Raw genomic sequence first — 26,970 nt, forward strand, 5'->3', positions numbered from 1 at the left:
TCTCCTAAAGAGTTTCTGAGAATGGGACTGTATCTGGTTTCTGGAAGTTAATGTTGGAAATGTAAAGCTTCACAGAAGCATTTGCTCCTTCTTTAACAAATATGTACTGGATATCTACCATGTGCCAGCCATGGCTCTAAGTGCTGAGAACATTGCATAATAAAACAATCCTTGCCCAGAATGAGCTTCCACTCAAGATGACTGAAAGAGTGAATCAACAGAAAAGGGCAGTCAATGCATGCCTGGAAAGTGTTAACTTCTCACCCGCTTCATGGCTACCTCCCCTGTACAAGTCTCACTTAGATTGCTACCATAGCCCCCTCTACCTAGTCATTCAACTTCCACTTGGCCCCTCTAGGGTCTCTTCTCCACAGAGCAGCCAGACAGTTGCTCTTCAATTATTAAGTCATATCTTGCTAAAGCTCTGCTTCACACGCTCAGATGGCTTTCCAACTTATATTTACAATGGATATTCTGAACAAAATGTAAACTTACATTCACACCTTACAAGGCTCCACCACTCTCTGACTTCATAACCTGTCACTTTCCCTGGGGTAGACTGCAAAACTGGCCACATGAGCGGCAGCTCCTCCCATCAAGAGCTGGAATCTATTTCCCCACCCCTTGAATCTAGGGTTGGCTGTGAGACTGGCTTTGACCAGTATAATGTGGCAGAGGTCACCTGCCATGTCAACAAGCATGAAATAACTTCTTGGAGGATGAGAGGCCAGTGTGGACCAGAGATAAGCCGCCCCACTTGAGATCTCAAAGACCAGTCAGCACTCAGTGTCCTGGCAGCTTCTAGAGATATGCACGAGCCCAGTCAAGACCAAAAGAACTGCCCAGCTGAGCCCAGTCAACTTGCTAACAGGTTAGTGAGCTAAATAAATGGTGGTTGTTCTAAACCATTAACTTTGGGATGCTTTGTTATGTGGAAAAGCTAACTGATATATCCCTCTTTATCCACTTTGTTCCCCGCACACTGACTTCCTTACTGTTAAATAAATACAAGTATATTTTGCACTTTGTGCTTGCTATTCCTGATAATAGCATCCCTCACACAGACAGCCAACATGTATCACTCCCTTCAGATTTCTGCCCAACTATGATCCATCAGTGAGGCCCTCCCTTAATACATTCATTATACAGAAGTACAAACACAACTCCAGCCAAGCATTCCTTTGTTTTTTTTGCCTGAGGTTTGTCACCGTGTGACGTACTATATTTACTATTTATTTATTCATTTTTAATATGCCTTGCCCATTAGACTGTAAGTCTCATGAGAGCCAGGACTTTCTTTCGTTTTATTCATCCCTATGTCTCCAGTAACTAACACAGTGGTTGGCATATGGTAGGAACACAGTATATACTCGTTACGTAAACAAGTAAATAAATGAATGAAACAAATCAGAAAATATAAAATAGCAATAACTACTATAGAGAGATTTAAAATAAGGTGAATGGGTAGTAGGAAGCAGGAGCCTACTCTAGATTCGTTAGTGACAGAAGGCATCACTGAAGAGGTGACATTTGAGTGGATACCTGAATAAATTCAAGTTCTTCTAATTACAGAAGGGCCAAGGTACAAGTAAGTGTCACACTAGCAGTGTTGCTGTTCTCAACGGCAGCTAACTGTGCTGCAATGGCCCAGTGAACAGTCTCCATTCATAGATCCAAAAATCAAAGCTAATGTGTTTATGCTCAGTAAAATAAGCTTACCTCTCCTGAAGCAGGCAGACTGTATCTTCACCACTCCATCAACCCTACCATCAATATTATTGTAGCAATACTATCACAGCTGTCCATAATAACAGTGCTAACACTTTTGAGCAACCGCACTCTGCCAGGTACTAGTCTATGTACAATACAGACTGCAGCTCATTGGTGCTATTATGATGCTCTTTTGAGTACTCACTGGTGCTCTTTTTAATTCTCCTAGAAACTAGAAGACAGAGAATTTAGGTACTCTGTCCAAAGGCACCTGGCTAAAAAGCAGTAGGGTTGGATTTACATGCAGGCAATTTGTCTCTGACACCCCTACCCTTTCTCACCCACTGTACATGACTTCACATCAATCACCCACACCAATCACCCAATGCCTTATTCAGAAATTTGACAGAAGGAAACTTCTGGGCCTTGGTCCCTAAGCATCACACTTTCCCAGGGAAAGCATGCACACGTATAAGCATGCACTGGGTCTGAGTCTGGACAGAAAAAGGAGTTCCTCCAAGGAGAGAACTGAGATGCTTCTCCATGGTCTTCATTATGAGAGCCAGTCTTGCCATGCCACCTACTGTCCAAGTTCCAGTATCCTCCTTTGGTCAGCAATCTGGAATACCAGTGCTCATCACATGTGTGGTCTTTGTGTTTACTAGCTTAAAGCCAAGCAGAAATAAGTAATACTTATATTTTTAGGACAAGAAGAATTCAACAAATGTTAACAGTGTACAATGTGGCTTTCTTGTCTCCATGCCCAATGACCACCTTGTCTTTCTATCTTAAAATAATGCTCATAACAGTTTTGATCCACACCATCTGGATCCCTTGTGCAATCCTGTGGTTTTCCCTTCCTCGTCTCTAGCCTCCTGTCCCAACACCACACGTGCTGCAGTGGCCCTCAGCCTCGCCACCCACTCCTTCCTAGTTACAGATTAAACCCCTGTGGTAGTAAAGTGAGGAGTCGGGTGAGATGAAGGTTTGCTGGCCTCATTTCAGAGTGGAAAGCACATCATCAAAGGAGAGGGCCACAGAGATGTTTAAAAACCATCAGACCCCACACTTGTGCCCATGTTCTCTTAAAAGATACCTCCCCAGGAGCCACACTTTGCTAAGCCAGAAAGGCTGGATTATACTATGTTAGTTTCGCATGTATTGCCCAGACAAGTCTTTCTTTCAGTGTTGATGCTGTGAGGCTGTAAATGCAGTGGGATTTCCTCATGAGCTGGCCCTTGTCCCTCCCACTGAAAAACTACTTATTCTTCAAAGTCAGCTCCTCCAGCGCAAGTCCATTCCCTCTTCCGAACCCTTTGCTTCTTGTCTGTTCAATTTATTGCCCGCATACAGTATGTTATGGGCTGAACTGTGACCTCTCAGATACTTACATGTTGAAATCCTAAGCCCCGGTACTTTACAATGTGGCTGCATTTGGAGATAGGGTGTTTGCAAAATTGATGAAGGTGAAATGAGGTCATTCGGGTGGGTCCTAATCTCAAATGACTGGTCTCCTTATAAGAAGAGGAGATTAGGATATGGGTACAGAGGGAAGACCTCGTGAAAACCCAGGAGGACAGCCATCTGCAAGCCAAGCAGAGATGCCCTGAACAGACCTTCATAGCCCTCAGAAGGAAACAATTTTGCTGACACCTTGACCTCTGATTTCTAGCCTCTACAAGTGTGAAACAATAAATTTCTGTTGTCTAAGCTGCTCAGTTTACTTTGTTACAGTAGCCCACACAAACTAATACACCATACATGGTTTTGAGATAGTCCTGTGTGGCCTTGTCACTGAACTCTTAAGAGTTTTATTTTATAGCTTGATTTGGTTGCATGGTGATGTTGCAGTGATTGTATTATTATTTAAACTGTGTGGGCTCATTTCTATGACAAGCTATAAGGCCAGAAGCCACGTATTCATATACTGCCTCATAGATACCTGCTGCAGCATCTCCGATCATCATAATGTCAGTGTTCAGCAGAATTTGCAGAATGAAAGATGGATTTGCAAGAGACTATTTTTAACATGTGCTCCCTTGCTATATTAAATATAAGTCACAGCCTTCTTTAATTAATAGGTATAGAGACCCACCTTTTACAATTCAATATGTGGCATGAAAAATACACAGATACATATGGATCAATGGGATAGAACATTTAAATCAGGACTGTGTGGGGGAAGTCCAGCACACTACCTTCCTCCAAAAAAAAACAAGAATTGCAACATATCAGGTTTTGTATGTTTACAAAGTTATCAAGCCGAAATCTTTAAAACAGGCTAATGTTTGAACTCAGGAGACAACGAGAGTGACGTTGCAGGCCTGGGAAGTTCATTTTAAGAGCTTCTGAGCATGGAATGACCAGGATGGGAAGCAGCATGGCCTGGGAACAATGGAGTGAATTTACGAGAAGTTGTAAGGAAAAAAAGATGGAAGAAGAAAATGAGGAACTGCTACCTAGAACCTAAGGGTTCTGAACACCAAGAATTATCTATGTAAAGTGACTCACAGGAGGGACTATTAGCAAGAAGGACGAGGCAGGACTGGATGACCGGGATTGTTGGATAAACTTTTGAAATTGATTTCTGTTATGGAAAAGGAAGAAAAGTTCACACACAGCTCCAGACAACGGTTCAAGGGTATCACTTGTTAGAATGTAGTGGGGACAGGATTTCAGGGAGTTTAGTTCATCCTGAACTCAAAAGTAAGACACGGGAATCCAGGCAAAATTGGCCTTTCTTCATTACCCCAGGAGAAGACAGAACCATCAGTCAGGATGCAGACAGCCACCAATGAAGTTTCTACATGGGTCTGGGAAAGGGATTGCTTAATAGACTTGCAGAGAATACAACAGTATGTTTTCTAGAAATGGAGTCAAAACTGGAGGCATGTTCTATTTCCCACAGAGAAGGGTAAAAGATGCTATCTCAAGGAACTTTACTTCCATTCATGTCAGTGATACCTACAGAGAGAATTCTTAGACATTCAGTCACCAATTCAGGACAATTAAAACCTCAAGATAAAATCTGAATTTGTATCATTAGTTTATATCTTGAACACAACACACTTAGGGGCAAGATTCATAATTAACAATAGAATATGTAAATCCATACTTCTAATAACCTCTTAGTCGTTTCTAAGTTTTTGGCTGGCATTCTGTCGATCTGATTAGATTGTCATTATTTTCTCTAGAAACATGGCTGCACTAGTGTCAGGAATGTTGGCTTGGCCACATTCTTATTGTTTGATTAGGTTTGCATTATTATAATTGCCTTCAATCTGAGGTTTCTTCGCAAGAATATTTTTCAGACTCTTGGCAGTTGTGTGACAGCAAAGTGGTGTTTAAGCCATACATCGTAATTTGCAATTCCAACTCAATAGCCCCCCGATAACTGTGATATGTCACTCTAGGCTGAAATGTAACACATGAGGGTGACACTGCTGATAGCTTATTGATGGCCATCTGATGTTTGAACTGAATACTGGGCCCAAAGCCAATCTGTATATTAAACATTGGGAAAGCTGCTGTGGTATGAATTGAGGATAATACATGTCACTATCCAGAACCGAGATATCTCACAGTTCATGTTCAACACATCCTATTATCATCATTATCCTGGAACTCTCTATGCGATAAAGAGTCCCCAAAATGGCCCCCTGCAATGTGGGTTTTAAAGCATAGAATTAACTTCCCAGTAATGTTTGGGGCTGCCATGAGGAATCCAGTCTCAAGCCTAGTCCCCAGGAATGGACTTGGAGCTTTTAAAGGCAGCCAAGACCTTAGGACTAGGTCCTTCATGGTCACCTCTCAGCTGGTGCACCCTGGCACACTCTCTGTGTGTGTGTGTGTGTGTGTGTGTGTGTGTGTGTGTGTGTGTGTGTGTGTTCATATTGACCACTGCTTTATTACAATATCAAAGGGGCCCATGTCAAGAAGCCAAGAATAAGTGGCCCAATTGTGAGGAAATCCAACTACATTTGTTCTATGAAGGAAAGAAAAGCTACATAAGAAAGGCAGAGGAAATGTAGTACAAATCCCTTATGGGTTAACTTGACACACACCAGTAGGTGTGCAAAGTAAGCTGCACTTGTACTTTTATCCATAAGAAAGGCACAGCAAAGAAGTGTTTTGCCTGAAATCTGTAGATACTACGTCAATGTAATGAGAATTTCCTCATTTCGATTTGTGAACATAACTTCTTGCTTGCCAGCTTTAAGAGACTAATTCGAATAAGTGTTCACTGTAAGGGATTCAGATGAATCCCTTAACTGTTAGAGTTGTTAGTGTTGGTTTCTTAAATAACATCACTCTGGCCAACAGTTACTGCTCACAATTAAGTACTGTAACCTAGTACAGTCAAGCAGTCATTGTTAATGAAGGGATAAAGAATCCATCACTGCAACATAAACTACAAATGGTTTTAAGCTGGGGTAGTGAGTGAAAGAGGCAGAGATCATCTGACATAGAAAGAAAGGAAAGAGAATTGAGAATTAAGATAAATCATTTTCTGATTAGCATGGTGCTCCCCAATTCCATGAGGCAACATGCCAAGAATGTATCATATAAATGCCACTAATTAAAAACAAAATAATTTACTAGAAAATGTTGGCAGATAAACTAATTTTTAATTTTTAACACATGAATTATTTTGTACTTTATTCCAAGTTATAATACTTTGCATCTGGAATTAAGCTTAAGTTCTTAACTGCAAAGCCCCGATTTAATACTTCTCATTGTTATAACAGCTACTTCTTTATGCCCTGCATAGACATTTTATAAAGAAGAACTGACTGCTTATAATGATAGGGAAAAACTATGAGTATATGGTGGTTCTAAATTCGCTAGGGCAAAAAAGCTAAAAGATACTATATTCTTTCTCCAGTCTTTGGTCCTGTGTACAGCATTTCAAATATTTCAAAGTTTCTCATGCAATGGGACACACAGGGTTAAGATTCTAATGAGTGCTGACATGAAATCAGTTCACCCTATGAACTACTCACCATAATAAAATTCATTGTGTGTTCCAACCTTAAGGAACGGTATTTTCAAAAGCTCTGCTTTTGTTAGCATCTACCATTACTAGGTGTTAACATTTTAGAAGAAGTCAAATTAACAACTTGATTCAGGCATTAAAAATTGGGGGAATATTTTTAAGGGGTCATAAATTTTTAATAACAACATAAATCTACCTGCTTACATCACCTTAGCTCAGTCAGAAAAAAGGCATCTCCCCAGTGGCTCGTCCAAATAATGAGTTATGGTGATAAAGTAGCATATCTAGAGTAATATAAACTATTCAAGTTTCACAGGGTTAGGTGGACAACAGGACTTAATGGATATGTGCAGTCACAGAGGTTGAATACTCAACTAGCATGTGTTAAGGAGGCCAGGCTTACTAGACGTTATAGTCATTGCTGAGTTTCAGGCACAGAACAGGGACTGCCAATGCTCATCAAACATCCTGCCTTTTCCTGCAGTCAGGTTGGTGCAACGTGACTAAGTGGTCAGTCAGATGTAAGTGACCAGATGTCGGTCACACAAGGGCAGGCCATAAAAAACATCTTATGTGATCCTCTCCCTCGTGGTGACCTTGGAGGCCCCAAGTTCCAGGGGGGATATCTACAAGAGGGAGGAAGACCTTGACTCATACGGAGCTTGAATGTGAGCAAACGGAACTTTTTACTGGATTAAGCCAGTGAGACTTTGAGATTTGCCCCCAAATCAACACCTAACAAGGCATATCTGAAGAGATCTGGTGAACCGCCTGGGTCAACACAGTAGAAGTTTATTTGTAGCTTCAAATAACTTCTGGATAAGGAATCAAGGACCACAATTACAATCTGCCATTGTTCCCCAGCAGGGAGGGACCGTCCTAACTGTAGTGAGGCATCTGCTTTGAAGATTTCTACTCCAACCCAGCTCCTAAGGCACATGCCTAGTATGTTGTAGGAGAGAAGAGGGGAGAAGAGATGTGCCAAATACTCTTGATTAGGCCTCCAGACCTCGTCTGTCTTTCTCTGCTTTGTTCTCAATCACAGGATCTGCCCGCCCCTCTGGCTTCTGGTTGAACGGGGTCAATGGAGAAGATTTTAGACTATCACACGGAGGAAGTGGAGTGAAGTCAGGGTAGCTGCTCCACTTGCTTTTTCCCTTTCTGGCCATGAACTTGGCAATGGCTACATTCTCCTACATGCTGCTCATCCCCTCTTTCACAGCTACAGCCTCCAGGAACTCTGTGCCTGCCCCTCCCAGGTGCTAGTGCAGTCCCTGAGTGCCTGCCATCTCTTGCTGCTGCTTCTAACCCTACTCATACCACCCACGAAACCTGCTGAGGGTTCCATCTGCTTCCTATCAGGGCTGATGCAGGCTACCTGTATTTTTATTGAAATTTCACAACACAAGGTAGCACTATTTATCTGGTGAAGCACCACCAAACAAGAAAAGGCAGATATCCTCCCTACTCTGACTCAAGGCTCAGTGCAGCTTGGCTATTTGAAGGCTCCCAGACACACACTGGCACCTGTGAGTGACGGAATAACACTCATATCTCTGGAGGTAAAAGGACCCAGCAGGGATCACGTTTGTCTGCAAGCAGTTCAAATGCAGGCACAAAAATGTGGCTGGGTACTTGTGCACAGCTTTGCAAGTTGCTGAGGAGCTATCAACTGCCAAGGTATGCCCAAAGCCACTGAGATAACCCCTAGGGATACCCAGAAATAGATGGGGAAGGGTTTAAAGTTGATCAGGGTCCCACTAAAAGAAGGACGGGCAAGAACCAGGGAAATAGAATTTAACGTTCTTCATTACCACTTACGTGATTCTAAGCTGGTGTGACCTGAGAAATAATCCTTTTTAGAAGAAGCTGCTATGGGAAAAATCATTGAACATAGAAAGTGTCTTAACAAAAGAAATAACCTCTTTGGAGTGGATTTTAGTTCACTGTTTATATGCCAAACTTGACTGTTTGTGTGTGTGTATGCATGTGTGTGTGACAACACCATTTCAAATGTGTCATTCAAAGTCCATAATAAAATGTATTCAATATTCAAAAATTTAGAAGAAAAATGTGAGCAAGCTTGGCCATCTGTTCATGCCAGTAATTCATAAACCATCAATTGTAGACGAATATTTAAGCCTTAGACATTTACTTATTCTGCCCTGTTGTACTTATTTCCATGTTCAAAACTGTCTTTTATTTTGCACATATGGCCACATCCTTTTCAACATTTATATTTTTATGCAAAGAAGTCCCACTAACCCTTGATTAGTGAGGGTTGGTCAGAAGACAAGCTTACTGCTTGAGTGGCTCTAATTTTAACAGCATCGTTCAGTCCTTCTACGTGGCAATCAGAACTTACACATCGTTCACTGTAGTTCATGCCATTTGCATGAAACTGACATAAGCTGACACTCTGCTGTATATCTTGGCACAATATTGCTTTCATCTCTGGAGTCGGGTGTCTTACAAATTTAACATTGTCAGTTGGGACCGTCCAAAGATATTTACAGGTATGTAAGATTGTAGAATGGCTGGAAATGTTTTCTGTCATCTTCTCATGATTAGCAGTGTTTGTTTGGTTATATTGGCATTGCTCAGGAAAGCTTTTCCCAGAATAAAGCGTGTCTTTCATTTCTTTCTATCAAGCAGTATATTAAAATAAACCATTTTTAAAATAATCATTACAATGGGAACAAATTCTTTATTGTTAAGTCAATTGTTTTATATTGAATTAGCTATGCCAAATTTAATTTAACTTAAAGATGTTCACATAATATTTATTTTAGAGTTATTTTATATTCTTATTATGCCTTAAGTAAATTATATTTCAAACAACTTGTTGGCTCAGCGATATTTTATTTCTACATTGAGTTTTAGCAACTCTAAAAAGGCTTTGTAAAAATTAACTGTAGGATGGAATAAGATATTTGCAATACCCTTCTTGAGTTTGTTTTCAGGTATTTCAAGAAGACATAGTGATTTCCAATTGACATTTATTCCAATAAGTTACAAAATTCTTTTGTTTGAAATCATTTTATGACATCTGGACCAACTTACTTTTATCTTAAGTGGCACTAGAGATATGTTACCAGAGCGAGGAAAGCCTATCAATGAGATCAGTGTCAAAAAACATAAATAAAAAATTTTAAAACGAGGAAGGAGTCAAATTTATGCTATGAAATCTGAAATTGATAAAGTTACCATCTCTTCCATTTTTAACATTTCAAGATAACATTTTCAAGAAAATCAATAGATGCAAATTATTTTAACAATTACAGAGAAATGAGAGATAATTATTTATTGCCACTAACCTTCTGTCTAACTTCGTTGGGTAAATACAGGTAAAATCTCATTTTAACATATTTAATAATTATATCCTGATTCATTTTGGAAATTTGGTCCACTTCTCAGCTAACAATTCATAGTAACTCTTGTACTGATTAAAAGACCGTAAATTCCAGGTACATACACACACACACACACACACACACACACACAAAAGATGTGTTCATCTTTTTTGTTAACCTTTACTCTGTCTTACTAGCCAATAAAGGTTATGAGCACTTCGATAAGATTCAGATCCTTAACTTGAACACATTTGCTAAGCTAAATAATTGTGAAATTGTGATTTAAAATGTGCTGGTGATATGTGGGCATTATGAATATAGTTTTGTTGTTTTGTGCACTTCTGTAAAGATTCTGGCTGGGCAGTTACAGAATATAATTACTGCAGGGTGCTACTAAATAGAGAGGATAAACTGTTCTTGGAAAAGAAAACTTCTTGGTTCTGGTAAAAATTCTCTTGGTGATGGCATACATGAAAGGAGCAGACATAAAAGGACAAACAAAAATAGCAATTTTATCAGTGTAAACAACCCAGAAGTGTCATTGAATGGAGTCAGGAATGCTCAAGGTACACTTCTAATTTGTATTGTCATTTTTGGGGTAGAAGACAAATGCCATCACAGGTTAATCTTAGCACTACTGCCAGGGATCAAACCATGAACTGACGGTCTAACCCCAAATATGTTTATGTAATTTTTACTAGACATCACATTTTCCATTCTCATTGAAATTAGTTCACCTTCTAACTCTTTTTGTATCTGACACAAATTATTTTAATGCATATGCCTGAAGGCTCCTGTTAATTTAACAGGCAAATATGATCTGATATCTTCTTCATTTTAAGTTGATAAGATAATGTTGAATATTTACACGTGCCTTTAAATATACATGTGAAAGCCAGCAGTACCTTGAATATTTCAATCAGCAGAGGATAGCCTGAATAATAGATAGAAGGGAAAGGTAAATTAACACAAATCAACATGTAATATTAAGGAAAGTGCTATAACAGTTCAAAGTAATTCCTTAAACAAGTTCAAAATTCTGGTTCTGATGGCAATGACTCCTAATTAATGTTTAAGGAAGAAAGCAAATAACCATCATGAAGAAGTAACATGCAGCAATGCAGTTTGGTTCAGTAAGCAGTCACATAATCCCCTTTGAATTACCTTCTATGGAGAAATGGGAGTAGAAAACAATTACCTAATAAACTAGTTTGTTATCTGTAATTTTCTAGACAACAAGAAATCAATTATGGAAACATATTCAATCCATTTTGAACTAGAATAAATATACAAATGTGTAATTATACTAAAAGAAGGGTGAAAAACATGTGGACCTTGGTATTAGAAAGGAAAGAAAAAATGCAATCTAAAACAAAATGTAATGTTATCAGCAAAGCAATGAGAAGAACTGGTCGGGGGTGGGAGTGGTGAAGAAAAAGGCAGAGGATTTAAGAGACCTGGGTATGAGACCTGTCTTTCAATGACCAACTCTGGAATCATAAATGAGCCGCTCAGCCCCTCTGGGATTCGGTTTCCTCTGATACAATGACGAAGTTGAACTTGGTGGTCTCCCAGATCCATTTCAGCTCAAACATTCTGGGAACATTGCCATTTCATGATGGACAGCTTAAATGGAAAGATCACTACTTCGTGCTTAAGAACTGGACCATATGTCCTTTTGTTTTTCTAAATACCTACTCAGTTCTAACTTTTGCTGGTGTCTGGTGTCAGATATTAAGTAGTGGTGATGTGGCATCATTTAAAGGGAGACACAATAATTAAGTAGCAGGTGCTCTGTGGTAAAGTAAAGTTCACTAACGTAGAAAGAACGAAAAAGGAAAGCAGTGAAGAAGCCACTGACTGCAATCCATGAGTGCCGTTCAGAGACTGGCTACGGGGGATTCATTTCATCCCTGATCCAGAGCCCCATGGCAAGGGCTCAGAGCATCTACCAACTGTGACTGTGGAGACTGACCAGATGGTGCAGGGGGATGCAGGATGTGTATAAGACTATAAACAGGTTTACTGCCATGTTCAGAGCCAAGTACCAAATTAGATATTCTCCAGGTGTTTAAATGGCCTAAGAGCAACAATAAGAGGAAATAAGTATACAGCTGAGAAGGAGAAGGGACACGGTGTGATGAGTGGCCAGCTGGCTATGTTCCTTTTCGTCTGATCTCATCAACCTTCAGGCCAGCCAGGTGGGTCCCAACAGTCCGACTTAGTACCTGTGCCAGGGTTCCACTCTTTTTGGTCTAGAAGTTTTCACTTCACTTTTGTCTTTAGCTTCTTCCTCCTTAACATGGACCTCATGACCCTTCTACAGTGCCTGACATGGCACAGTCAATGATGGACAGTTTGTACACGGACCTCTAGTTGTTGAAAGAATGTTGTTTAAAAGGCAAACTACCAGGATAATGCAAAAACATTTGACTGACAAGCAAACAAGGGGTTGTATTTGGATATGGATGATTTACATACAAAGTGCTGGGGGAACAAAATAGGGTGAAGTGTTGGCCTGGACACCAAGAGTAAGAGAGCTAATGTTTTATTAAAGAAAATGCAAGGACATTTTGGAAAACTTCTTGGAAATCTAAGAAAGTATGAAGGAAGCTATGCTTTATAAGAAACAAGAACAGAAAATAACATGGAGAGAAAACTCTTCAAATGAAAAGTTAGTAGGAACAGAGGAAAACACAATTGGCTGCAATAGAAATAAAGATAAATAATTGCAAGAAAATAATAAAACATAATAGGCAAATCAAAATTCACACTGCAGTAAGCAACTGACATAAACATGAACAATAGGAATGGATGCAAAAAATAAAGACGTAGTGAAGGAAATCTTCATGTACTTAATCAGAGTAAAATTAATTTTAAAAAAGTTTATTTGACATATCTTAGAAAAAATAATCAAAAGGATGAAGAGATATCCTAAAATGATTTTTTTTTAAGTTGCCTACTGTGGAAGATTGAAAAAAAAGTGGCCCCAATTATTCACTCTTCCTTGATCTATGCCCTTTGTAACATACAAAATTTGCAGTTCCTCCCACTAAGAAGTAGAGTGTATTTCCCCTTCCCTGGAATTTGGTGTTCATCTCTGATTTGTTTTTCCCAACAGAATGTGTCAGGAGTAGCTATGCACAAGTTCTAAACCTTCCTTGGAACCCCATCATTTGAACAAGCTAAGCTTACTTGCTGAAGGAGAGAGAGCCCAGTTGCCCTAGTCTAGGCCATCAGAGATCAGCCAGCCGCCAGTGCCCAAAATGCAAGAGATCTCAGCTAAGATCAGCAGAAGTATCTCTTCACCCCACATCTGACCACAGAGGCATGAGAGAATCCAACAAGACCAAAAGACCACATAGATACATAAAAACTGACAAATAATAACAAAGAATTATTGTTGTAAGCCACTGAGTTTTGGATCTTTTCTTACACAGCACTAGCTAACTAACTTACATAAATAGAAACAAAAAATGTTACATGCACATGCTCTTGCATAAACACACATACACATGCACACACACACACACACATTTGCAAAAACATGAAAAAAGTTGAAATATTTAAAACAGAGTGTCCAATCTTTTGGCTTCCCTGAGCGACAATGGAAGAAGAATTGTCTTGGACCACACATTAAATACACTAACACTAATGACAGCTGATGAGCTTTAAAAAAAAAATCTCATAAGGTTTTAAGAAAGTTTATATATTTGTTTTGGGCTGTATTCAAAGCTGCTCTGGGCTGCTTGTGGCCCGCGGGCCATAGCTTGTACAAGGTTGGTTTGAAACGTCCTTAAGGGAAATAATCAAAACTCTAATACCTGCACAGAAAATTGGCCAAAGGACCTGTTCAGAAAATTTTCAGAAGAAATACAAATGACTCATAAACATCATAAACTAGTCAACTCTATTGATAAAAAGAAACAATCGTTAAAGCAATGGAGTGTCATTGTTCCTATATTAAGTCGAAACAAATTTAAAAACTCATGAGGCTCAGTGTTGAGCCTGGCATGGAAAGGCAGTCACTCATAATACTGGTGGGAATGTAAAATGACACAGGCGCTCTCATAAGCCATCTCCTATTATATATTGCTGTGGTTTACTGTGTTCCTCAAAAAGCATGTGCTGGAAATGTAATACAATCATGTGGGACGTGGGACCTAATGGGGAAGGTTTAGGTCATGAGGGTTCCACCCTCATGAGTGGATTATTGCCAATTATAAAAGGCTTGAGGCTGCAAGTCTGATCTCTTATTGCCTTCTCTTTGCGTGCTGCCATGCGATGACACAGCAAGAAAGACCCTGCCAGATCAGCTCCTCAATCTTCAAATTTCCAGCCTCCAGAACCATTAGCCAACAACTTTCTCCTCTTTATAAATTACCCAGTCTGTAGTATTCTGTTATACAGGCACAAAATGTTAATGCCTGCATTATATAGCTATACATGCAGTATTTTGAAATAAAACAACAGAAGAAATTATCACCAAAAAAATTATCATGTTCTTTCACCTATTAGCCATACTTCTCAAACCCTATCTTAATGAAATAGTTATAAATAAGGACAGAATTTGATAATATAAGAATTTCAACAATAAGAAAGTGACTAAATAAGTTCTGGCATATCCTTATATTTAAAAGTTATGCAGCCATTACAAAATCCATATGTAAAGAATATTTACCAACATGAGAAAGCATAATACAAAGAGAAAACTTGATAAAAAATTTAGGTATATAAAACATGAGTACAATTCAATAAAATTATATGTGTGCATGTATATTTAAATCTAGAAGGAAACACAAAATCATGCCAACTAGTCTCTATACCTGCAGGATTATGAGTGATTTCTCTCTCTCTCTCTCTCTCTCACACACACACACACACACACACACACACATGCAAACACGCACACATAGTTTTGAGTGAACTTAGAGGTCAGTTCCTGGCCAGCTCATTTTAGAATATTTTTCATCAATGACTGCATAATGGCAGAACATATAAACTTAACAGCTTTGGGCCAGTTACTAAACCAGGAAGCTGTATGAATTCAGACTGGCATTGTTAAGTGCTGAGGTGAACAGAAATAAACAGGATGAGATTCAAAAGGGGCCCCTGCTGGGTCATTTACAGAGGATAAACCAATTACACAAGACAATGTAGAGAATGATTTGCAGATGTGTCTGACACAGATCTAGGAGTTAGTGGGCCAAAACTGGACATGAATTGGAAAGCTGGTGCATAAAATTAAGTACATTATTGAAACCAAAATTGAAGAATTAAAGAATTTAAAAAATCAAAAAAACAAAATTGAATAATTAAACATGAGATTAATTCCCTCCACCCTATTGGCCATCTACAGTCTCTTCTGAATACTGCCTACAGTTTTGGGGTCTACAGTTTAAAAAGAAAGGCTCAAAGAAAAACATTACAAATAATAGTACCTTTTAAGAAATGAGATCATGTAGCTCAAGAAGAAAACACTGTTGCAAAAATTTTCAAGTGTTGATATAGATGAAAAGCAATCATTACATAGATGGCAATGCCAGATGGTCTCCAGGCCTACTGAGAAAATACCAAAAAGTATGAGTAAATCATACTACGTAATACATACATAGCTTTATTTGGAACACTTATTTGGAACAGCCACACTTTTGTTTGGAACGCTCTCCTCAATGCAAAGATGTGGAAAAATACATCAAAGACCACAGGAAAGAAAGGAAGGCGGGAAGGGAGGAAGTGAAAGAGATTTAAAAAAAAAAAAAAAAAAGAAGGAAGGGAGGGAAAGAGAAAGAAATAAAAAAAAGGAGAAGGAAGCACAGAGGGCGAGAAAGAGCAAAATGATGTGGGAAGATCTTCAACAGGAATAAAGGCATTCTGAAAAGAGGGAAGGCAGACCAAGGCTTGATTCCTAGCCATTCCTGTCCATTACTATGCCTCAGTTTCTCATCTACAAATTAAGGAAGATAATAAATTAAATATGCTCTTAAAAATTCAGGAAGAAAATGATAGTAGTTAGAGAAGGAGATTCTATATATGCATAAATGGTGTCCCAGAAAAAGAAAACAGAACAAATAGGACTAAATAAATAAACAAAGTGTAATTCAAGAAAATGTTTGAGTAATAAAATATTCAAGGGTACATTGGGTACCAGAAAAAAAAAACTGATATGTAACAATAAACATGAAGTAAGTGGACTTCAGTGACAAAGAAAGATCTTTCTGGCATCCAGACAGGATAGAAAGATAAATCTATCTTGAAGGGAAACACATAAGCAACTGTGGGCTTCTCTGCAGCAACATTCAGTATCAGGACATGACAGAAGGCATCCCAGGTCCACAGGCAAAGAAAGTCAGGAGACAAATGAGAAACAATAGCAAAATGACTAGCAGTGATTACAGAATGCATTCAAACAAAAAATGAAAAGTAATGCAACTGTGAGAACTATGGTTATAGAATAGAAATGGGCTATGCTATGACAAATGTAGAAATGGGGTAACTAACAAAACTTGGAGGTACACAGGAAGAGAAGTGGAGAATGAAGTACCTTAATTGACTCATCTTTTATAGCCAATGTAAAACATAAAATTTAAATCTGGTAAAGGAAAAGCAATTTAAGTTTATTAAAAATATAAAAGTAAATAGCAGGATAGCTAAAAATATATATACTACAATCAAATAAAATCAGAAAGAAAGGATGGAAGGTGGAAATATGCTCAAAAATGCTTATTTCTTCATGGGTCTAAAGTGATATAAGTAGCAGCTAAAGAAACATAATGAACTAAATAGATCTGTGAAGCTTTAATTACAAAAGTTATCTAATCTAAAAGAGTTACAACATTACATGACCTTTCTAAATAACAATAAAAAATATAAAATCAAATCTAGACCATGTAATAAAAATTAAATAATAAAACAAATAACATAAAATATGGTTACAGTATTAAAACTAACACATCTATTATGTAACTAAGCCCTCATTATGTTCAAAACTCAGAAGAAAAAGGCCCGTAGATTGGCTCCCCAAGGGTGAAAAATCGGTATACTGATATGGTTTGGCTGTGTCCCCAACCAAATTTCATCTTGAACTGTAGCTCCCATCATCCCCATGTGTCATGGCAGGGACCCAGTGGGAGGTAATTCAATCATAAGGGCAGGATTTTCCCATGCTGTTCCCATGGTAGTGAATAAGTCTCATGACATCTGATGATTTTATAAAGGGCAGTTCCACTGCACATGCTCTCTTGCCTGCTGCCAAGTATGATATGCCTTTGCTCCTGCTGTGCCTTCTGCCAATGATTATGCAGCCTCCCCTGCCATGTGGAACTGTGAGTCCATTAAACCTCTTTCTTTATAAATTACTCAGTCAAGTTTTCTTCATAGCAGTATTAAAATTGACTAATACAGATATTGGTACTGGTAAAGTGGGATATTGCTATTAAGATACCCAAAAATGTGGAAGTGACTTTGGAACTGGGTAACAGGCAGAGGTTGGAATGGTTTGGAGGGCTCAGAAGAAGACGGGATGATGTGAGAAAGTTTGGCACTTTCTAGAGACTTATTGAATTGTTTTGACCAAAAAGTCCAGTCTGAGGTGGTCTCAGAGGGAGATGAGGAACTTATTGGGAACTGGAGGAACAGTGATTCTTGCTAAGCTTTAGCAAAGAGATTGGTGGCATTTTGCCCCTGCCCTAGAGATCTCTGGAACTTTGAACTTGAGAGAGATGATTTAGGGTATCTGGCAGAAGAAATTTCTAAGCAGCAAAGCATTCATGATGTGACTTGGGTGCTCTTGAAAGCATTCAGTTTTCTTCTTTCACGAAGATATGTTTGGAATTGGAACTTATGTTTAAGAGCGAAGCAGAGCATAAAAGTTCAGGAAATTTGCAGCCTGACAATGCAATAGAAAAGAAACACCCATTTCTGAGGAGCAATTCAAGCCAGCTGCAGAAATTTGCATAAGTAACAAGGAGCCAAATGTTAATCGCCAAGACAATGGGGAAAATGTCTCCAGGGCATGTCAAAGGTCTCCATGGCAGCCCCTCCCATCACAAGCCAGGAGGCCTAGGATGGAAAAATGGTTACATCAGCGGAGCTCAGGGCCCCCTACTGTGTGCAGTTTTGAGACTTGGCGCCCTGCATCCCAGCTGTGGCTAAAAGGGGCCAACAAACAGCTCAGTCCATTGCTTCAAATGGTGCAAGCCCCAAGCCTCGGCAGCTTACACGTGGTGTTGGGCCCGCAAGTGCTCAGAAGTAAAGAAATGAGATTTGCGAACTTCTCCCTAGATTTCAGCATATGTATGGAAATGCCTGGATGTCCAAGCAAAAGTTTATTGCAGGGGTGGAGCCCTCATGGAGAACCTCTGCTAGGGCAATGCAGAAGGGAAATATGGGGTCAGAGCCCCCACACAGACTTCCCACTGTGGCACCACCTGGTGGAGCCGTGAGAAGAGGGTCACCATCCTCCAGAACCCTGGATGGTAGATCCATTGACAGTTTGCATCACATGCCTAGAAAAGCTGCAGACAATGCCAACTCGTGAAAACAGCCAGGATAGGGGCTGTACCCTGCAAAGCCACAGGGGTGGAGCTGCCCAAGGCCATGGGAGCCAACCTCTTGCATCAGCATAACCTGGATATGAGACATGGAGTCAAATGAGATCATTTTGGAGTTTTAAGATTTGACTGCCCTGATGGATTTTGGGCTTCCATGGGGCCTGCAACCTCTTTGTTTTGGCCAGTTTCTCCCATTTGGAACAGGTGTATTTGCCCAATGCCTGTAGCCCCATTGTATCTAGGAAGCAACTAACTTGCTTTTGATTTTACAGGCTCATAGGCAGAATGGACTTGCCTTGTCATGGATGAGACTTCGAACTGTAGACTTTTGAGTTAATGCTGAAATGAATTAAGACTTTGTGGGGCTGTTGGGAAGGAATGAATGGTTTTGAAACATGAGGACATGAGATTTGGGAAGGGCCAGAGGCAGAATGATATGGCTTGGCTATGTCCCCACCCAAATCTTGCCTTGAATTGTAGCTTCCATAATACCCCCATGTTGTGGGAGGGACCTGGTGGAAGGTAATTGAATCATGGGGGTGGGTTTTTCCCATGCTGTTCTCATGATAGTGAATAAGTCTCATGAGATCTGATGGTTTTATAAATGGGAGTTCCCCTGCTGAAGCTCTTTATTGCTGGCCACCATGTAAGATGTGACTTTGCTTCTCATTTGCCTTCAGCCATGATTGTGAGGCCTCCTCAGTCATGTGAAACTGTAAGTCCATTAAACCTCTTTTTCTTTATAAATTACCCAGTCTCGGGTATGTCTTTGTAGCACTATTAAAATGGACTAATACATATGCTATATGTAAGGAACATCTAAAATAATGTGACTCAGAAAAGTTGAAAATAACAGCTTGGGCAAAAGCATACCAGACCAGTACCAACAAAAAAATCAAGAATCTTAATCTTATTATCAGACACATTAAATTCAAAGCAAATACCATCCAATAAAAAAAGCTACTTTAAAACTGTAGAGAGTATAATTCACAATGAACATCTAACACTATAAATATGGTATCAATATTTACATAGCAAAATCTATCCGAACTACAAAAGTATAAAAAATATAGTAATGTTGAAATTAATCTCTTTCCTGACAAAGAATGATCAAGTGAGTAAGAAATAAGAATAAAATTACCAAGCCATTCTAATTGATATATAAATGGAATTACATGTCTTAAAATAGAGAATGCAACTTCTCTACAAATTTTTATGGGATGTTTTCACTATCAATAGAAAAACAAAGCCTCAATAAATTACAAAAGTAGAAATTAAATAGACAATACTTGCTGTTGACAATGTAATAAAAATCTATAACAAATTAGAAAACCAAAACACCCTGCCATCTGTAAAATTTTAGTTCCCCAAAATAAACTTTGTGTCAAAAATGAAATCAAAACCAAGAATACAGTATTTGCAGAAAACAGTGAAAATAGAATGTCCTCTATTGGAATCTCTGTATACAGCCATAATGGGCTGAGAGGAAAATTCACAGCCTAAACTACTTATACTAGTAAATAAGAAAAAAATGCATAATTATTTTAGAAAATAAACATTCAATTCAAGAAATGTAAGGCCAATAAATGAGATAAACCCTTAAATAACCAAAATAAAGAAAAAATATAAAAGTCAGAATATAGAAACAACCACAGATTATTCACAGACTATATAAATCATAAAAGCCCCTTGGCTTAAAAATATTATAATAAATGCAAAAACCTGAATGATGGGTCATTGTATATATAGCTAATTGCCACAAATGAAACTGCAATAAATTGTCAAAGAATACCCCTCCCGAAATGCACCAGACAAAATCAACTTCACACAAGTGAATTCTATGAATTCTTAAAGAAACAGCTCATTCCAATGCTATTTACAATACATATGGAAAAGGAAGGAATGGTTTTGAACCTTTCTATGAAATCGACATAACCTCTACACCAACCCCCTACAAAGACAGCACATGCACACAAGGAAACCACAAACTTCCCTTACGTTCTCAACATAAAAAATCTTAAACTAAATCTATGCAAACAAAATTGTGCAACACTGTTCAACATTTTAAAATATGTCCATATAATTATTCATATTAGTAAGTACAAGGAGAGAAATATTTTCTCCATTAATGCTGGGACGGAATTTGACAAAATTTATTAAAATGTAAAGTTTATACATTCTTGATTTTTCAGAATTCTTAATAAAATAGAAAAACTTGGAGACATCACTAAGATCATAATACTAACATTTATATAGTGCTTATTATGTTCCTGGCACCCTAAGCAAATGTGTGCCTATTCAAAAATTGTTCTTTCTTTTTTCCTAAAGTAATGCTGAGGTCAAGCAATGGCAGTGGAACTGTACAGGATGTGGGGGCTGGGCCAAAGCCGTGGGACTCCGGATTTATTTTGTGAGTTGGAGAATTGTCTAGTCATCAGACCAACAGAGGAGCAAACCTCTAACAGCATCTCCCTGCTTCTTCCCACCCTCTCAACAGGAGGCATTGGAGAAGGTTTATCTAATGACTGACATCTGACGCATAAGGTGCAGGCACACTTACTCAGGGTGCGAATATTTACTGAGTGTCTCTGTGGGGCCATACACTACTCTAGGCACTGGACATACACCAGTAAAGAGAAGCTGTCCTCATCTGTCTTATTTTCTGGTCTTAAATCTAAAGCCAAGAGGCATTTAGCAGCACAAATCCTCTTCAGCAGTCAACACTCCCAAAGTTTCAGGCACTGAGGAAAATAAAAACAAAACTGTGGCCCTTTCCCAAGAAGCGCACAGTGTCCACAAGAATGTGAAAGCCATCTGGAAACTGATAAACTGCAAAAAGCTCAGCCATCTTCTGTTGGCAAAATAAAAGAATGGATGTCCTTGGAAGAACGATGTCCTTGGAAAGTCATCAAATAAAAATGTGAGAGAAACACAGCCATTAGAAGCTAAACAGCTTGGGACACCCTTGTTTACACAGCACGATCACTGTAATATTTTGAAGTAAATTGTTGTTTTTAAAATCCAATAAAATCTACTTTCCATTCACCTTGAAAATGTGAATTGAAACTCAAGAGCCAAAAACAAAAACAAAAACAAAAAACACATGAGAACACTACATGCTGACCCTGAGTCTCCAAAACATCTATTTTGTGCAAAGCACTTTGCAGTATCCAAGTACTTCACATTCATTGCCTCACGGCATGAGGACCCCCTCAAGGCCTTTAACCATCAAGATATTGCTGCATTCGTGGGGGGATCTCCTTCCCATTTTTCTGGAAAATCACTTTTCAAACAAAGATTTTAAAGGGCAGAACAGAGCCAACCCATGGTTTCCACATAAGTCACTGCCAAAAATGTAGAAGACAGACTTGTGATCATTTTTAAGAGGAAAACTAGCAGATTCTATCTTAGTCACACAAAGTTATCAACTCAGGCCAAAATGACAAAACACTTGAAGGGCTGGCTTCACTATTTCCAAAATCAAAATAGTCATCAACAAGTGGTTAAAATCGGGGGAAGGTTGCACTTATCATGTTTTAGAGGCAAGCCATTTCCAAGTTAAGATTTTAAGAGGCACAAGCAACCAAGAACTCACAATCATGATACGGTTTTCTCTTCCACCTAGGACCTATGTCCTCACCTCCTCCACTCATGTTCACCTTTATTGTAAAAATAGCAACGCTGGAAGTAATGGCACTCTAGGAGCATTGGGACGGATTTCAAAAATCCTTCTTCTGAGCCCAATAGTGTCTTAAGCCAAGTAGACAGCTCGCAGGGTAAACACATAGCAAAATATATTCTAGAGCACTACCATGCAGGCTGGTTTTGCCCTAAGGAATCAAACTACCTGCAAGTTCTGGATCCAGGTTTCGAGGGAGTATGGTGAGCTGTACAGTCTTGTGAACTAGGGGACTCGCACATTTCTGGCTTCCACTACCCCGGCCTCCCTCTTTTTTGTTAGCTCCACTTAAAGGGAAAGCCCTGTGTACACTTCTTATATTTTATCTTTTTTTTTTTTTTTTTTTGAGATGGAGTTTCGCTCTTGTTGCCTAGGCTGGAGTACAATGGCGTGATCTCGGCTCACCGCAACCTCCGACTCCCAGGTTCAAGCGATTCTCCTGCCTCAGCCTCCCGAGTAGCTGAGATTACAGACATCTCCCAAGTAGCTGAGATTACAGGCATGCGCACCACCACACCTGGCTTTTTTTTTTTTTTTTTTTTTTTTTTTGTATTTTTAGTAGAGATGCAGTTTCTCCATGTTGGTCAGGCTGGTCTTGAACTCCCGACCTCAGGTGAGCCACCCGCCTCAGCCTCCCAAAGTGTTGGGATTACAGGCATGAGCCACCATTCCCGGCCATATTTTACTTTTTAATGGATAAAAGCAAATAGTATCAGATCTTAAACAGGGCAGAATACCCTAGGTCCATTTCTCCTCCCCTCCTTTCTCTGTTCCTTCATTTCTTTACTGGCCCTTGGCTCTTCATTCTGTTTGAAGCCCTTGTATGTGACCCCTCTGCTCTGTCTCTAGTTCTGACTCCTAAAATAGCCTCGTATAGAGTCAGAGACCTCCACGGATATGCTGGAGTCAGGGAGGCAGAGTCGTGTGGGAAAGGACAGTTGACAGGGAGACAAGTCTTGACCTGGCCTCATTTCCTATTTGCCAGTCATTTTTGGTCCCTCTAACAATGCTAGATCTGGCCCGTTGGGCCAAGGCAATTCAGCTGCCCTGGCCCACTCTGGCTGGCCTGTTCCTCCTCATTGTGTCCCAGGTGCTGGTTCACCAGGCCACTGGATGTCGATATTTTCCCCATCCAACAGGAACTCCTTTCGACCTATTTATTTCAAGTTCCATTAGTGTAACAGCTAATCTGATACACTGTTCAGCCGGAATGTGCCCTTGGAGGAGACCTGTCCTAAGCAAGGGCTAGGCCCTGGCCTGCATTCCAACTAACAAAGGCATTTTTTCCTCAACTCTGATTCTGTCTTTCTGCCTAAACCAGAGAGACTAGTTGAAAAATTATGCAAGGTCAAAGAGCAAAAGGCAGATATTTGAGAAATTTTTGTCTGGGTCCTGGGGAGTGTGGCATGGAGCAGAGGTACAGCCAGAATCCTGGCCTGGGTTTGGGTTACACCCCCAGAGAGAGACTCTGCTTGGACAGCCCTGTAGCAAAACCTCTTCCAAATACTGGCAGGACTTCAGAGTAGTTTAAGTGGATTATGCTTAAGAGTCTAAGGCCTGTAGTCAGTAGATCCCACAGGTCCAGCAGTCCCTAGCCGTGATGATGCTCACTCCATCTGTATTAAAATCAACTGAATTTCATTGAAGCCAGCTGAATTTCTTTGTGGTTTATCTCTGATCAAGTAATCCAGAATAAACTGCTTACCCTCCCTAAGCCTTAATGGACCCATCTTTGAAATAGGACTAATAATAAAACTAACAGCACAGATTTTTGAAATAAGGAGTTATTGAGCTAACACATATGAAAGCACTTTATACACAGAAACACAGTAAGCAAATCTTTATGATTATTTCTCAGAGAAACTCAGAATGAATGCTGTGCAGCATTAGAAAACATAAAAGTCAAGAATATGTCCTTGAATAGCCTCTAAATATTAAGATAACTGTTAGTGCCCTTGAAAATGGATTTTAACAAATTGTTCCTTGATACCCAGACCATGCACACTCTCCCGGTGTGTTATTCGTCGCGATGTTCAGCCATCAGCAGGTCCTCCCTGCCCTCCTCTCTTTCTAACAGCATCACTATGCAGAACTTCTATTCTCCCTTTTCTTTAATCTCCAGGACTAACCATTCAACATGTGCTCACTGATGTCTCCTATCCCATCACCCTCCCTCTTCATCAGCTGGTTTGATGGATTTGGGGGTTTTAACTTTTCGTTAAGGCGTGCATTCTGATTCTTAATCAAGGAATGAAATCTGTGTATAAAACACACAGAGGAATGTACAGATATGAGTCACATGGCTCCGCACCCAGTGAAATTATACCAAAATGTATTAGCCAAGTGAGGAAGTCATAGTACCAAAGTAAGTATATCACTTCACAGTGCAAACACTGTGATTAAAAAATAATTTTCAGTTCATTATCTGAATTTTTAGGCCGTTAAGCAAACACTTAAATTAAGTAGGAACGTGGGGATAGCTAACTTGATTTTTCAGTCTTAATCTGGGATTTAAATGCCATGTGCATGCCACAGAACACCAGCAAAATGAAAAGTGACAGATGATAGAAATGAGAAAAAGAGGTTGTAGGTGGAGTTTGTGGGAAAATCATTAGACAAAATCTTCTCATTAGGATTAGGATAATGGATAGAATTGGGATTCACTTAGACATTACGGGTTAGTAGAACAGAGCTGAATACATTCATTTTTAAAGTCAAAGATCCTCCACCCTTTCTGTGTGGGCTGCACTTACTGTGTAATTTCAAAAAGCAGATTATGGAAAGAGGTGGGAGGGAAGGAATAATTTTACAGTGGAGAAATCTGCCAAACACTACCTTGGCCAAGATGCTATGGTTTGAATGTGTCCCCCAAAATTCATGTGTTAGAAACTGAATTCCCAACACAGCAGGGTTGGTAGGTGGGGCCAGGTGAAAGGCAGAGTGCTCATGAACTGGTTAATACTGCTACAGAATGGGCATTCAGGAGGGGAGTTGCTCTCTCATTTGCTCTTCCACCATGTGGGGACCTTTCTCCCCTCTGGAGGACACAGCAACCAAGTCACCATTTTAGAATCAGAGAAACTGGGCTCTAACCTGACGGTGCCTTGATATTGGACTTCCCAGCCTCTAGAACTGTGAGAAATACATTTCTATTGTTTAAGCCTCCAGTTTATGGTATTTTATTATAGCAATCCAAGCAGACTAATAACAGTTCTTTATGGAAGAAAAAGTCCTTTTAGAATTAGGGACAAAATATATGTATGCTATATAATAGGACACATGTGTTGAAAAGACCAGTCTCAATAATGATAGAAGTGGATTCTGGAAAAATATAAATAAACAATGTCCCTTTTTTCTCATTCCAGTACAAGATTTTATGAAAAAAAAATACAAAAAGATGTGCTACTTTTCACAGAATCACCATCTCCATATTTCAACATAGGTATGACACACGGCCCTCAAATGGGTGTCCTGGTAGTAAACTTTCTTATGTTTCTAGGTAAGATTTATCTACTTTTGTCCAAAGTGAAGAATTAGATACAACTTCACCTTTTTTATGAACTGAACCTCTGAGAGGGTTTTATGTGAAAGCATTTCAAATCCCTTATGGCCAATGTAAACACCGCCCCCAACACTCACAAATTCCATAAATGGAGTGTACCATTCAGTGTCACTGATTTAGGGAACACCTTAAACCAAAGCTCATAATAATTTTCAAGAACAGAAGAAAATGTCTTGATTTTGTAAATAATCTAAATAACTGAGACATCATGTCAACCTCTTCAGTCACGAGTGGGTGATAATCTTGTGAATCTCCCTGTCCAAATGTCAGGAACCTTTTTGCTTCTATTCTATTAAAATAAAGGAGCAGGCAGTGTCCCTATGACCTCTCGCAGTGGGCTTCTTTATATTACACCAAATCATTCAAATACATGGAAGTCGACACCTGTTACTCATCAGTTAGCTCCCACTAAAACCAAAAATTAGCAAAACAAGGTGCAGTTAAGCAAAGCCTTTCTCCTTTGCTGAAAGCATTCTATTTCTTCCCTTTCCACGGATGGTTTTGAAAAGAGTATTCATGTTGAGGATGATCTCAACTCAAAAGTGTAGAGTTCTCTCTGATTCATCACCACTTGGAGAACAGTAGAAAGACCCTGGGACTCAGGGACCAGGACTCTACGGCTCATTTACTCCTCCAATTCTATGACCTTGGGAGTTTGGAGTATATGATGTCTAAGGTACTTGCAGCTCCAAGGACTGAAGACCTGAAAATAATTCAAAGTTTTGATTTGAAAGGCTGTGAGAAGCCAGATAATCTGTTTGGAGTAGGTTGTTTCCAAATTTTTAAGTCGGTGGCACAGTAGTTAAACTGGGAGGACAATCAACAATCTCAATTTAGCTTTCAACAATAACACACTTTGAAGGCAGGCCAGCTAGTGCAGAAGCAGATATACAGGATGTAGCAGCCACATGTCTTAAGAAAGAACAACTCTTTTCTTCTATTATGGTACTTTGTGGGAGATGAGATAGCAAGAGGCATAACCAGAGGTCTTAGATTAGCTATCCTGTGCTAAAAATCTTAAAGAGACTGAGATAGAGACTCAGAGAGAGATAGAGAAACATGCTCAACTAACTGCATTTCAGTTTACCAGGATGAAAATACTGGAAGTATTTTCTCAG

The 26,970-nt window shown here is 39.3% G+C and overlaps 1 protein-coding gene and 1 long non-coding RNA gene across 3 annotated transcripts in view; one reads left to right on the forward strand and one right to left on the reverse strand.

Annotated features, from left to right (window-relative positions):
• MARCHF11 (membrane associated ring-CH-type finger 11) overlaps positions 1-26,970 on the reverse strand; it is a 112,653-nt gene that overhangs the window by 52,934 nt on the left and 32,749 nt on the right. The gene's annotated exons all lie outside the window — the stretch shown is intronic.
• Positions 9,059-21,656, forward strand: MARCHF11-AS1 (MARCHF11 antisense RNA 1). The gene is made up of 2 exons (XR_001742612.2): positions 9,059-9,222; positions 20,940-21,656. It is a non-coding gene; the product is annotated as an MARCHF11 antisense RNA 1 (long non-coding RNA).

Source organism: Homo sapiens, chromosome 5, assembly GCF_000001405.40.
Source record: "Homo sapiens chromosome 5, GRCh38.p14 Primary Assembly".
NCBI classification, from domain to species: Eukaryota; Metazoa; Chordata; class Mammalia; order Primates; family Hominidae; genus Homo; species Homo sapiens.